Below are 15,251 nucleotides of genomic sequence, written 5' to 3' on the forward strand. Positions count from 1 at the left end.
CACAGGTGAGGTTAGGTCCCCTTGAAATATGAGATAGCAACTAAATACAAGTCAGGCTACTTTCATTTGCGAGAGTAAACAGGCCTCAAACATCACCCAATATGGAAACAAATTACTGTGTTTTTTGTTTCCATAAAACACAGGCTGGACGTTCCTAGGGAAGGCCAGCTTCAGGGATGACTGCTCCACAGACTGGTTTCTCTGCCCACTCCTCTGCAGGCTGCTTACTCCTGCAGGTCCCCATGGTCAGAGGGGGCTGTCAGAGGGGGTGAGCCAGGAATGTGTGGCCTCTCCCTTAGGCATAGGATCCCTTCTTCCCCAAGATGCCTCTAGACTCACTGGTCCAAATGAGGCTACGCATTCCCATTCTATGTCAGTGTTAGCAGTGGGCTGACAAAGGCTGAGGTACAGTGCTTGCCACCTTCCTTCCCACTGCCACTCAACAAGAAAATTGTAGTATTTATACAGCGTACTAGGGTAATTGGATGGGGCTGCTCAGTGCAGTCTTCAACTATCCTGGGTCCTGACCAGCTGCCTTGAGAGCCGCAGGGATCAATAAACGAGCACAGCTGAAATGTAACCATTTCTGGCACACCAGAGGTATTCTTTGCTTGAGATCAGGGATTGTCAAACTATGGCTCCACTGCTTGCTTTTGTAAATAAAGTTTAATTGGCAAGCAGCTAACAAACATGAGAAAATGTTCAACATCACTAATTATCAAAGAAATGGAAAACCACAATGAGAGATACCCTTTCACACCAGTCAGAATGGCTATTATTAAAAAGTCAGAAAACAACAGATGCTGGCGAGGCTATGGAGAAAAATGAATGCTTATACACTGTTGGTGGGAATGTAAATTAGTTCAGCCACTGTGGAAAGCAGTTTGGAGATTTCTCAAAGAACTTAATAAAGAACTACCATTCAACCCAGCAATCCCATTACTGGATATATATACAAAAGAAAATAAATCATTCTACCAAAAAGATTCATGTACCCCACATGTTCATCAAAGTACTCTTCACAATAGCAAGGACATGGAATTAACCTAGGTGTCCATCAATGGTGGATTGGATAAAGAAAATGTAGTATTCCACACCATGGAATACTACACAGCCATAAAAAGGAATGAAATAATGTCCTTTGCAGCAACATGGATACAACTGGAAGCCATTATCCTAAGGAGTAAATACAAAAACAGAAAACCAAATATTGCATGTTCTCATTTATATTAATAAGTGGGAGCTAAACACTAAGTACTCATGGACATATATGTGGCCAACAATAGACACTGGGGACTACTATGAGGGGAGGGACGGAGGGGGCAAGGGTTGAAAACTAACTCTTGGGCATTATGCTCATTAGCTGGGTGATTAGATCAATCATACCCCAAATCTCCGCATCAAGCAATACACTCATGTAATAAACTTGCACATGTACCCACTGAATCTAAAATAAAAGTTGAAATTATAAAAAAAAAAAAGTTCTATTGGGGCCATCTATCTTTTCTGCAGAGTTAAGTAGCTGCAATAGAGACCATATAACTCACAAAGCGGAAGATATTATCTGACCCTTTATAGAAGTGTTTGCCAACCTCTGGCTTAGATGCAACAACTAGTGTGGAATAATGTCAGCAAGTCAACCACAATTTCCATTCTAGCACCCAACACTTTTCCTTTCTAACATACTTCACATTTATATTATCTTTTTGAACATCTGCCTCCCTTGCTAATTTAAGTTCCCTGAGGGCAGTGAATAGTGTCATTTTTTATTCATTGCTGATGCCACATCCCCAGCACCTAGCCCATGGGCTGGCTCATTATAAGCACTCCATAAATATTTGTTGGCTGACTAATTGAGATAAATGCACTACTTAAATAATCTTCTATGTAGGAGTAAAAGCAATTATTTCTTTCAGGATGCTCCAGATCAGAGAGTAACAACATATCAAAAACAGCACGTCAACAAAGAGACACGTATTCTCCAATAAGAAGGGCATGAGCTTTAATAACATTAACATTTCACAACCCTTGGGAGGAAGATGTGTCTACGTGCTGTCTCCCTTGAGAAGAGGCAGAAACAAACTTGGATTCTCAGAATCTGAGAGGCAAGGTGTGGCAGAGGCAAGCAGCATGTTTGCTGGAGCCATCTTAACCAAGAATGCTCACTCATGACCTCATGCTGCAGCCCACCAGCTACAGTTCCAGGTACGCTCCCTATTTAACTTCATAATTTGTGACTTCACTAGGTAACTGAAGCTCAACTTTCATTAGTGTTCAGGGGAACAGTAATGATTTCTAAAAGGTAGAAAGCATAGAGAGTGAACAGGGATGGGCCAGGCAGGGTGGCTCATGCCCATAATCCCAGCACTTTGGGAGGCTGAGGTGGGTGGATCACTTGAGGTCAGGGGTTCGAGACTAGCCTGGCCAACACGGCGAAACCCCATCTCTACCAAAAATATAAAAATTAGCTGGGCCTGGTGGCGGGTGCCTGTAATCTCAGCTACTTAGGAGGCTGAGGCACGAGAATCGCTTAACCTGGGAGGTGGAGGTTGCAGTGAGCTGAAATCTCTCCACTGCACTCCAGCCTAGGCGAGAGAGTGAGTCTTTGTCTCAAAAAAAAAAAAAGGAAAGTGAAGTGGGATGGGCCTAGAGATATCTCTATGCCACACTTTCTCTTTAGGTCTTCTTTTCAAAGAATAGATAACAGAGTCCACAAAGATAACAGTAACCTAGAGAAACAGACCTTGATAAACCCCAAAAAACTTATGCAGTGGACCTAGAACTCATTTTATCTGTGGATGATGCCAGTTTTTTTTTTCTCATTAACCAATCTAAGGAAATTTAGAAACGCATGATCAGAAATGAAAACAACTTTATAGTTTTTTAAATTGCCAGAATGGTTTTAGAGTGTATAATAACATTAAAAAACAATTACCACTAGTAAAGAGGCAAGTATTTTTCAACGTTTAGTTTGACATTCAAAGTTTTATTCCACAATGCTGGGGACATACAAAATACTGAGGTGCAGTAATGAAAATTGCAATAACAGGACCTGAACTTCATTATAATCTGCTAATTAATATAGCAATACACAATAACAACAGGTCAGCATACACAGGATCATGATCAAGTTGAGGCCTGTGTTGAACAGCCAAGAATGCCTCAAACACCAGGGAAAGAAAAATGCCAAGCACTGTATTAAAATATCTCCCCTAGACACAGTTTGCTTTCCAAAAAAAAGCTGGCAGTCAGCTTTGCATGCCAGCATTTCAGTATTTTTCCCCCTTCTCTACATTTATGGCAAACCCAAACTAAACCAGATTTAGGAAAGCCTTGTCATCAAAGAGGGAAGAATAGGTAAAAGGAAATCTCTTATTTGTTTTATCCATGCAAATTAGGTGGTATTTAGAACAGTCTTCTCTACCAGAAGAGCCAGTATTATATTCGACGGAAGTAGAGTGGTTGTCACCCATGAAGTCAAATAAAAATTGCTTCATTTTTTCATTTTCAAATTCACAGACCTTTAATACTTTTTTTCTGTCCCTTTTTCTCAGAATCTAACAGAATTTTTTTTCATAGATGTTCTAACATAAAAATTTAAAATTAATATTTGGAATATAGTAATACTGCCATTAGATCAATTCCCTCACAATTTTTCTTCTTAAAGTATTTAATGTAAAAAGTAGATGTCTAAGTTAGTAACTGACTATGTACTAATTATGAGAATCTCAGTCTGTCCATCCATATAGTAGGGGAAAATATATTTGCTATCACTTGGCAATGATGGGCTTCAGGACATGCTACCGTAAAATGCAGCACCTTGACATTTGAGAAAGCAGCAGAAGCAGGAAAGTCTCTCTCACCTTCCCCTGCTGCTCTTCTCTCCTAAAGCAGATCATAAAACCTAGAAAGGATTATCTGACCTTCCTCTGAAGCAGATCATAAAGCCACCACTGGAAAGACGCTCTCACCATACCCAGAAGAAAGGAATATTCTTACCTCCGGCAATACAAGGACACAGAGAGGAGTCTGAACAAACAGGTCTTGCTAAGTTCTGCAGTTTATTACCACTAGATCATACCCTCTTTGTCCAATCATACTTTTCCAGAACAATCCCACTTCTTCATTAAACCTAGCATAAAAAGTATACAGGTTTACCTGCCTCTCCAAGTCTTCATTTCTTTACGAAGGGTCCTATGTCATGAAAATTTTATTTTAAACGAATTTGTATGCTTTTCTCTTGTTAATCTGCCTTTTATTATAGGAGCCTTAGGTCTGAATCTAGCAATGGGGAAGAGAAAATACATTTCTTTTCCCATACAATGATAAGTGTTTTATGGGTTCATATTCTTTGATCTAGTAATACCAATTCTAGAAAAAGATTCTAAGAAAATATTCAGTAGGAAAAGCACTTATATTCATTAAACTACTCATCATAACATGTCTTAAAACAACAGATACTGGAATAGACTAAATGCCCAGCTAGAAAGAAATAAGAAAGTGGTTAAGTAAATGTAGGTTTATCAAGCAAGTGAAATATTACCCAATTATTACAAATTAAAATGACGCAAACCATGGAGTATTCTGCAAAATATTTTATAGATCGCAACATAAGTAAGTAGACTACACTATGGTTACAAATGAAAACTAACTGAAATTTTCTTATTAGTCTGCAGAAAAACAAATTTGTGAGTTAAGAGCCTTTTATCAATGTGCAGACTCTCACCCAATCATCACATTTATCAGAGTAGCACCTGACTCTTCCTGTTGCTGGAATCCCTGTGGTCTCCTGATGAGCTTTTCCCATTCTTTCCTTGTGCCTTTGCTATACTGTATTCCTCACCTGCAAAGTGCTTCCATCTAATCCTGATAATCCATATGTAGCACTTTGTTCAAGACTGAACTCCATTCTCACCTCTTTCACAAAGTGGCCTTATTAGACCAACGATGTGAAATTGCTTTGAATTGCTTAGCTTGTATTATCATTTCCTTGACTATTTTGTTGTCACCTCTTCTCAGACTGCAAATTCTACAGAATTATTTTTAGCCCATGCAATGGGTAAAAAATACATGATTTTGAAAAATGAAGTGATCAATGAGTATAAACTCTTCGGGGCAGGGGCCATTTCTTATCTTTGTATCTACAATACTCATCATAGTACTGAGCAAACAGTAGATTATCAATAACTCTTCACTAAATAAATGGATACATTTATATTGTTACACGTGACTACTGGCTGTAATACCCAGGGAGGTTTTTCTTATCTGTCCCCTTTCCACTTTCTGCTTCTATGAAACATCAGATAAGGTTCTTTTTCTAAAAGGAGTGCCATCCATGAAGAAAGCTTACCCAGGTCAAACTGGCCAGAAGTGTAGCCACAAGTCTGCCGGACTTCCTCACTGTCCCAGCCCAAGGGGTAGAGGGCACAGCCAGCACCAATCAACAAGCCTGCAAAGAGATAAGACAAGAGGGCTTTACCAGTGCTTCTCTGCATCACTAGATAAAGGTGGTGGGATCAATATTTAGCAATATAACAAGACCATAGCGTCTGCTTTTTAGACAGCACCAGCCACAACTCTTTTAAGCAATCTAAGGTCAGTTTGACTCCAACAACAATTTCAAGTCAGCTTAAAAGAAAAAAAAACTTGACAGCTCAGTTTGGGTCCAACTTTGCCTTTTAAAGCATTAAAAGCCTTGCAAATCCTGTTTAGGAAATACAATTCAGAAGCTTTTTAAATCATTCTTGCAAAAAGCCAACCAATTCCACCATTAATCCATGCAAACAAGTATTTCAAGAGCAAGCAAAAGTTCCTAATAGGTTATGATTTCTTATTCACTAGATTTTTGTTTCCTATTTAAGAATAAAATAGAATGATTCAGTGTTGTCAAATTTTCCCAGGGGCAGAAAGAACATAAAGAGTTTCATGAATGGCCTCAGCACATTCATCAAACCTCTGAACGGTACTGCCCATTATTAGGCGATGTGGAGAATCACTGAGCATCCACGCATCTCAGAAAGTCTCAGGAAGACAGACATTTATCATAATCTAAGCACCCCTTGCTGCTAAAACCAAAAGTTTTGATGACTAAACCAAAGAAAGTGATGGTTTTCTCTTAATATAGATTAAGTTATCCTGGCAGCACTCTCTGAGCTGACAGCTTTCAATTGGTGAGTCTTTAGTTTGCATCAAAGCCTAACATGGTTTTACAAGAAGCTAAACGAGATTTAAGCACTCACTATTTGAATTTGTGGGCTAATCTGAAAGTAAGATCTTGTTGTGTCAATCACAGGTGTTATCAACATCTGTGAGTACCACAAATGTGCTGAACCCATAGGACCAACAGATACATAGTCTAATGTTGGGGAAGTGGCTTATCAGGTGCTAAATGACAGAGCCCCCTAAATAGGAAAATCCATTAATATGGTAACGTGGAAGAGGATGGCAGGGCCCGGAATGTATCTAGGAAAGGAGATCTTCAATATTTCTGCACCAAGTCCCTTCCGGGCCGTCTTTTGTCTTTTTCCTCCCTACCCCAGTCAGTCACCCCTGGTGGATAAATTGACCAGTAGTAATCCATACAAATAATCTGTTTCCTTACAGGTAACTAAAGGAGAGCTAGCTACTTTCCATCCCTGTCCTCAACTACCCTGAGGAAAGGCCTCCCTAAGGAAAGGCCTCCCTCACCCCCACACCCATCCTGATACATTTCCTACCCTGGTAATGCTTTCCCCAGTCTGCCCCTTGGTTGACATGAAGGGCCTTCTATATGCAAGGCAGAGGGCCATCTACTTGTGGGAGTGCTAGAAAGAATGATTGAAACTATGAATCACTAGTCTCAGGATGTCCTACATGCAACTGCATAAATATGAATTATGTTGAAGCTGAAGAATAATCTAGAAAGAAGTTATACAAGCTTTTGCTGACGAGGCAAATGTCCTAGTGGCCAATTTCCTTAGGCTTTTCCCCTTGGGATAGAATGTACAGCATTCTAAAGACAACTCCAAACTAGTTTTGGGCACCATTAAGTAAAGAAATTATTAATGAGGATGCCAAGCTTTGTGCAAAATGAATTCCATGAATGTTTAATAAACAATGAGGTATCATGTCTGCGATACTCAGTTCTTAAATTAATAGGTAGCACCACTTTCTGAGAAGATCTTGTGAACAATTTTTTTTAAAGGATGACAAATGCAGAAAGGCATCTGGACAAGAAGTATTTAAGTGTAAGAAAAATAGTAACATTTAAGCCAGGGGGACCCAACCCCCGAGCCATGAACCAGTATGGGTCCATGGTCTGTTAGGAAATGGGCCACAGAGCAGGAGGTGAGCAGCAGGCAAGCAAGTAAAGTTTCATCTGTATTTACAGCCACTCCCCATTGCTCACATTACCACATGAGCTCTGCCTCCTGTCAGATCAGTGGTGGCATCAGTTTTTTTTTTTTTTTTTTGAGACAGAGTCTCGCACTGTCATCCAGGCTGGAGTGCAGTGGTGCAATCTAAGCTCACTGCAACCTCTGCCTCCCCATCTCTGCCTCCTGAGTAGCTGGGATTACAGGTGGCTGCCACTGCACCCAGCTAATTTTTGTATTTTTAGTAGAGATGGGGTTTCACCATGTTGACCAGGCTGATCTAGAACTCCTGACCACAGGTGATCTGCCTGCTTCAGCCTCCTAAAGTCCTGGGATGACAGGTGTGAACCACTGTGCCCGGCCTAGCATTAGATTCTTGTAGGAGCACGAACCCTATTGTGAACTATGCATGCAAGGGATCTAGGTTGCATGCTCCTTATGAGAATCTAATGCCTGATGATCTGTCACTGTCTCCCATCACCCTGAGATGGGACTGTCTAGTTGCAGGAAAATAGGCCCAGGGCTCTCACTGATTCTACATTATGGTGAGTTGTATATTTATTTCATTATATAATCACAGTGTAATAATAATAGAAATAAAGTCCACACTAAATGTAATGTGCTTGAATCATCCTGAAACCACCCTCCTCCACTCAGTCCGTGGAAAAATTGTCTTCCATGAAACTGGTCCGTGGTGTAAAAAAGGTTGGGGATTTCTGACTTAAGCCATCAGTAATTTCCTCTTTACCTGACAAGTAAATGAAAAACAGTTTTATTTGCTAATGTTCATTACGAGTAAAAACTATGTGCCATGAAGTCATGAAAACACCTAGTCTGGCCCAGTCTTATGCTAGTCACTTTGGGACACTAAATAGAAAGGAGCTTACATATGGAACACTTAGGCCAGGGGCTCTCCAAGGGGCAGAACACTTGGCAGTCAGAGTCTTTTGTGGAATTCTGGGTTGTTTTTGTGATACTGTAACCAGGGACCTTGGTTTTAACAATCACCCACTTTCTTTTTCTTCCTTCTCTCCCCTCTCACCCTTTCATTCCTTCACTCTCTAGATACTCCCCTCCAACAACGCATGCTTATCTAATTGTGCTCTTGCTCTTGAAACAAACCAGGCTGGAACCCCATGGCAGAATCCTCCCACTTAGGAAGAGTTCCACCATTAGTCCACCATCACTGAAGTCAAGATAATGCCAGCCAGACTTCTGGACAGGCAATTACCCAAGATGGCCATCAGAATGTTAAAATAAAACTTTAGACAAATTAAATTTAACAGAGTTTAATTGAGTAAGGGTTAAAAAAAATTCACAAATCAGGCAGCCTTCAGAATCATGGCAGATTCAGAGAGACTCCCGGGATACCTTCTGGTCAGAGCAAATTTATAGACAAAAAAAAAAAAAAAAAAAGGAAAGTGACATACAGAAACCAGAAGTGAGGTACAGAAACAGATGGATTGGTTACAGCTTGGTGTTTGACTTATCTGAACACAGTTTGAACAGTCAGCAGCATATGCGTTGTTGAAGTATGGATGCTGGGATTGGCTGAGATTGCAGCTATTGTTACAGAAGCATACTCCTAAATTAGGTTTTCTACTAAGTCTACTTACTTGTCTACCTACTAAGTTAGGTTATGGTTCATCCTCAAGGACTTACGTATGGAAGTATGGAGGTTTTCTCAGGCCACATTTAGTTCAATTTAACAAGAACAAGATATACAGACTGTGTACCCTGCACTACTCCGGAATGTCTCCTATACCAAGTTTCCCTTTAAAAGTCCTATGGTAAATTTTAAAATGTAAGATGGTATTTAGAACACTAGATTGCCATCTTCTCAGGTTGCTGGTTCTCCGATTAAACCTGCTTTTCCTCCCACCAAACTTTGTCTCTTGCGTTCTGTCTGGCTTTCTACCGGCAAGCAGCCAAACCTAGAGTAGGTTACATTACTTTGTTTTTTGTTTGTTTGGTTGTTTTGTTTTGTTTTTTTGAGATGGAGTCTTGCTGTTTCCCAGGCTGGAGTGCAGTGGTGTGATCTTGGCTTACTCCTGGGTTCAAGTGATTCTCCTGCCTCAGCCTCCTGGGTAGCTGGGATTACAGGCGCGTACCCCCATGCCCGGCTGATTTTTGTATTTTTAGTGGAGACGGGGTTTCACCATGTTGGTCAGGTTGGTCTTGAACTCCTGACCTTGTGATCTGCCTGCCTCAGCCTCCCAAACTGCTGGGATTACAGGTGTGAGCCACTGCGCCCAGCCACATTACTTTGAAATGTAGATTCAACCATATAAATTAGGAACAATTTTATACACAGAAATTTGTGGTACATGTATGAATTTTAAAAACATACCATGAACATATGCTCACATGTTTAAAAAGTTGTTCAGTGGAGGGCAACTAGCTTATCTGAATTTTTATATTAATATTTATGTAGCTCTTGTTTTGTCACCTGCTAGTATTTGCTAGCAGGAAAGAAACTGCAGACTCCAAAAATTTGAGAAACATTTCTGGGAAAAAAATGTACGTTACAAACCGTATGATCAGGCTAATTGGCTATCACAGTGATTAGGATATGTAGGTAAACATTTCAGTGGCCTCCCCACTAACTTGCTACCACCGTATGTTATGGTAAAAGGGAGTTTCAGACCAAATTTGGCCAAATATGCAACAAATGTTTATTAGTAAGCTGGCACGAAAAAGAGTCAGAAGACCAATTCTGTAAGCTCAGTGAAATCCAGTGACCTGCCCCCCTGCCCAACACAACTCCATCATATAGTCATTGTAACAAGGACCTCACATGAAATTTTCAACACTCAGTGGACAAATATGAGACAGTTCAGGGAAACTTTAGGTCAGATCAGGCCACAATATTTTCCATTAAATGGAAGTGGAGAGGGAGCACAGGTCCAAAGAGAAAGATCTTAACCTGGACTGCCCCATGCAGTAGCCAATAGCCACAGGTAGCCCTTTAAGTTTAAATGTTAAGTTAATTAAGATTAAATACAACTCAAAAATTCAATCCCTCAGTTGCACTAGCTACATTTCAAGTGCTCAACAGCCACCTGCCACTAGTGGCTACCATATTGGACAGTGTAAATTAGACCATTTCCATAACTGTAGTTCTACTGGAGGATGGCTGTGCTAGATATAAGACACACTTTAAAAGAATGCTGGATTTGTCAGGTTCTTAGGCCTTAAGCCTGATGGTGCTTGTTAAGAATCAAAATCATCACTGCTCTTTAAAGTTCTTCCTTTTAGGTAGGGCTAGAGGTCAGGAAACTATATTTCATAAACTAGTGGGAGTTCTGGGTCATACTCTGTCAATAAGAAGCTCTCACGTGGAATATAAAAAATAAAAAGGATAAACTGGTATTCCACATTCACACCTGCAGCCAGGGGCAAGCCTTTCTGCAGACAGTAGACAGTGACATTTTGGGAGTGATTTCCAGGTGTCCCCCTCCTCATCACCCACTAAGGGTGGATTATCAGCTGTAGCTTCTTTTGATCCCAGCACTTCCTGATTTCCTGAATTCTTCAAAACAGCTTCTCTGACCTTCACTTTCTCAGACCTCTTAGTAGGTCTACAAAAAACGTTAAATCCCTGGGCTACATCCCTTCCTGCTGGAAATATCTGGAGTGGTTTCTCTTACTGGTCAAACTCTGACTGGTACATGCCCACTCACAAAAGGGCAGAAGAGCCAATACTGATCTTAATACCCCACCGTATTTCTTGAACATCATCCATTTCCTTAAGTAAAAATTATCTCGAAGCACAATTTATGCTAATTATTAAACTTCTGGGGCAAGTGTAGAGAGCAATATTCTAAAGCTTTGCCTTTAAGCATGCCTGTGGTATGGTCTCTCGTTAGGAAATGTAACAGGCTAAGTAACCTCCCCTGAAATGTAGATTTCTGAAGAGGATACTTCAAATGTTAACTAATTGTCTTCTGGGGGAGGACTGAAGTCAACTAGTATTTTGTTGTCTATACTGAAGTACTATTTTGTAAAGTAGAGGCAATTAAATGTAAAAGTGAGAACATCTTTTTAATGGAAGAAATCTGCCATTGTTCATTTCCAGCAGTGTTAAATCTTAGCCCATGTTGTGGAAATCAATGTTTGATGGAAGCACAGTTTAGAAATCCCTGAATTAGATACCGCTTGGGTATTACACTGTATGCAGAAATAGAGCTCAGAAAATTTTCTGGAATTTGAAGTAATTGCCCAAATGATGTCTTAGTGACCTGACAGATTTTAATAGCTCTAGTTGCCTAATTTGCTTCTGGGGAGTATATGGCTCAATTAGAATCTCTAGCTCACAAGCTTTAATATTATTTACATGGGTTTTATTAGATTTCTAAACCCTGTGGTTACCACATGGCCTTAATTTCAACCAAATTCCTTTGTCACCGCCATAAAAGACAACATAAAAAAGGCGTCAGTTTCACACATTTTGGAAATTTGTGCATACGAGTGGAAGTGAGGAAAGATGTTGTGAAGCAAGTCAGCAACCAGAGGAAGGTGGGAACCAAGGTGGGTTGCAGGAAGAGGTGTGAGATCATTTGCAGCTACAAGCTCATTTGCAATTAAGAAGCAATCTATTTCTGCGACCCCAAGGATGTGCAACTTTTAAGGGGTCATAAGTCAATCACAAATTACAGCAAATTAGCTCAATCTTTAGTTTCTACCAGCACTTTGCTGCAATCAGCAATCTAGAGGCAAAAGGCCATGGGGAAGATTGTTTTTAAAGAGGTTTTAGGATTGTAGAGAGATGCTGCCTCCTAAAAAAGAAAAAGCAATAATCCAACAGATGACTTGATAATTCTTAAATTTGAAAAAGTTCATTTTAATAATGCATTGACTACTACACCATTTCCTCCTGAGTGCCCTGCGGTTTTTGGGTTCACCCTGTTCAAGGACAATTAAAATATTTTAAGACTAAGTCAGTGGAATGACCTCTAAGGAGGAGCCAGTGGGAATGGAAAAGAGCTGGCATAGACAATTACAAAAAGGTGGGCAATGCTGCTGTGATGAAAGTCTGTTCTTTAGCTCCAAATGGGCCCTTGGGCCCAAACGTGAGCTTGGATACACTGGCCGTAAACCACCTACAGGAGCGTTCCTAGTAGAAACTCTTCGATTTCACAAAATGCTAGAAATATCAGCATGATACTAATTGTTTCTTTGAATTTGAGTGTGTGAAGTCTGAAGTCTGTAAAGAGCTCAGTGGTCAGAATAAGAACCTGGGGCTGGGAATTTTCCCTTCTGCAAAACTCTTTCTATTCAAACACAGTACTTAACACTTAGCCAGCGGACTATTAACATAACAATTCAGCTCCTGCCAAGAAGGCAAAACAAACCTCTAGTCAGCCAATGCCAATTACTCTCCACAGGTGGTAAGAATAGAGTCCTCATGTTAAACTCATAAAGCCTTATTTTTCCAGGCCAATCTTGAAAGTTTTTTTAATGTGATCTCACTTTTTTCCAGGACTATGGCTCCATTCTTTTTCCACTGTTTATTTTATTTTTTTAATGGAATGACTTTTTCCACCCTTGGCCCCTTGAGTGGTCACACCAGTGTTTCCCATCAATTCATCTTTTATGTTTTTTGGATACTTTTATCCATCCTCCAGTTCCTTTATCTTCCTTTCTGTGGTAAGCACCGAGGGAAATTGTTTTCTTTACTGTTCTCATGAAAGCTGCTCAATCTTGCAGTCTGTTATCTGAACTTCTCTTTGGAAGAGGCTGGCATGTTTCCATCTCAAATTCTCCATATGCTAATTGATGTACACGAGTTTTGTCCATTTTCATCCCTAGATAATGGCCCCTTTACAAAATGTAAGAACAAGAAATGTAACAATAAAACAAATACAGTGGTGGGGAAGGAACAAGAGCAGGGGTCAGCAGTGTAATTCTTCAGACCCTGGAAACTCAAGGAGTACATTCTTTAGTCTACAAAAAAAAAGGCTTGGTTGCATTCTAGTAAACCACACCTCCTATCAAAGTGCTTTCTGGAAACTGAGGCACAGAGGATGTAAGAAGCCTGTCCAAGGACACAGAGCTCAGATTAATCCCGGGCCTCCTGGATCCTAGGCCAGAGCTCTTTTTCCACCTATCATGATCTCAATGCTTGGACATAAGTCCACTCCACAGTCACACACTCACCACCCATAATCTGAGTTCAACCAGAGACATGTTGTATTTGACCATCATCATGTTTTACTAAGTGGGACTTGGTATATCTAAGTCCAGATTTCTTGTATCTCTTGAATAATTGAAACATATGTCAACACAGAGCCTGCAAGTGGCTGGCTGGAGCCAGGTCCTGGTCATCCTGTTAACTGCCTGGGTGCCCTGGCCAGACTCAAAGACATTTCTGACTGGGGATCCCTGACTTACTGCACCTATTACTGGTTCTTTGAATATATTTTGAGCTTTTTCATCTCTGAAAGTCAAATCCCTTCTCTTTGACTGAGACACTCACTGCTTACCTTAATGCTCAGAAAATACTACCACTTAAGGTCTACGAAGCCTCAACACATTGCCTTTCCTGGTCATCCCAGCAGCGAGCTATAGGTTTTGCCTCTCCTGTGAGCTGCTATTTTGATGCACTCTCTACCCTTTACTTGAGGCTGACCATACATTGCAGTTATTTGTAAGTATTACATGTCCTGGAAGGCCAGACACTCTATGTTTACTTGCATCCAGCTCACTCATTCACAATATTTGTTAAATATTAAATATAGTAATATTATTTAGTACTTTAAAATCCTCAGAAAAATGTATTTTTGTACACACATGTTTTTGAAGTCCAGATATCGACTCATAGTTATAGAATATATCAGCTGGGCACGGTGGCTCACGCCTGTAATCCCAGCACTTTGGGAGGCTGAAGTGCGTGGATCACCAGGTCAGGAGTTCAAAACCAGCCTGGACAATAAGGTGAAACTCCATCTCTACTAAAAATACAAAAATTAGCTGGGCATGGTGGTGCACACCTGTAATCTCAGCTACTGAGGAAGCTGAGGCAGGAGAATCGCTTGAACCGGGAGGCAGAGGTTGCAGTGAGCTGAGATCACACCACTGCACTCCAGCCTGGGTGACAGAGTGAGAGACTGTCTCACAAAAAAAAAAAAAAAAAAAAAAAAGAATATATCATTACCCCTGTTTAATAGGTGAAGGAAACCAAAGCTTGCACAAGCAGGCCTATGCTCATAAATCTACTCAAGTGGTAGATCCAGGGACAAACATCCAGGTTGAGCCCTGAGCCAGTGCTCCTAACCCCTCTTCTCCAATGCCTCCCAAATCCCCAAGTGTTCACTGTCCCATCTCTGGGCTTACTTTCCATAGCCACACACACACTGAACCCTGTGTGTAAATGGGAAGGAGGAATGGGGTAGAAGATCAAGCCAGATTTCCAGTCACCATTTGTCTAAGAATGACACTGCTTTAGCCACAGGGAAGTCTCCCACTGCTGCCTGTGACTAACGACAAGGGATGGGCTCTTGGAAACCCTGCAAATCCCTTTCCTGGGGGCCGGTGAGTGAGAACCCCAGTTGTGAGCGCTGGCACACAAAAAGCTTCTGTCCAAAGAGAGCACATGGAGGTATAAAGATGAGAAATGGGTTATTATCAGAAGCTTAGCCAAGGAAAGCATATCTTATTCAAACACTAAAATATAAAACAGAAATATGATAATTTGACAACCTATCAAAAATATTTTAACAAATCACAATAAGGCTATTTCTTGGCTGAAAACATCCTGCAGAAGAGAGTATACTTCGGGTTTCCTTAAAATGTTTTTCAAAATGGTGCCTTGATTCTCATTCTTCTTTTTTAATTCATGTGACAGAAAACACAAAAGACATGTACAATGCGTTATGCACCAAAATACTTGCTCCTTAG

At 40.5% G+C, this 15,251-nt stretch overlaps 1 protein-coding gene across 2 annotated transcripts in view; it reads right to left on the bottom strand.

Annotated features, from left to right (window-relative positions):
- LHFPL6 (LHFPL tetraspan subfamily member 6) overlaps positions 1-15,251 on the bottom strand; it is a 260,302-nt gene that overhangs the window by 30,186 nt on the left and 214,865 nt on the right. For both annotated transcript variants that reach the window (XM_011534861.2, NM_005780.3), the window contains exon 3: positions 5,351-5,449. In XM_011534861.2, the coding sequence (XP_011533163.1) occupies positions 5,351-5,449 (99 nt within the window). The remainder of the gene's footprint in view (positions 1-5,350; positions 5,450-15,251) is intronic.

The sequence above is a fragment of the Homo sapiens genome, chromosome 13, assembly GCF_000001405.40.
Source record: "Homo sapiens chromosome 13, GRCh38.p14 Primary Assembly".
NCBI classification, from domain to species: Eukaryota; Metazoa; Chordata; class Mammalia; order Primates; family Hominidae; genus Homo; species Homo sapiens.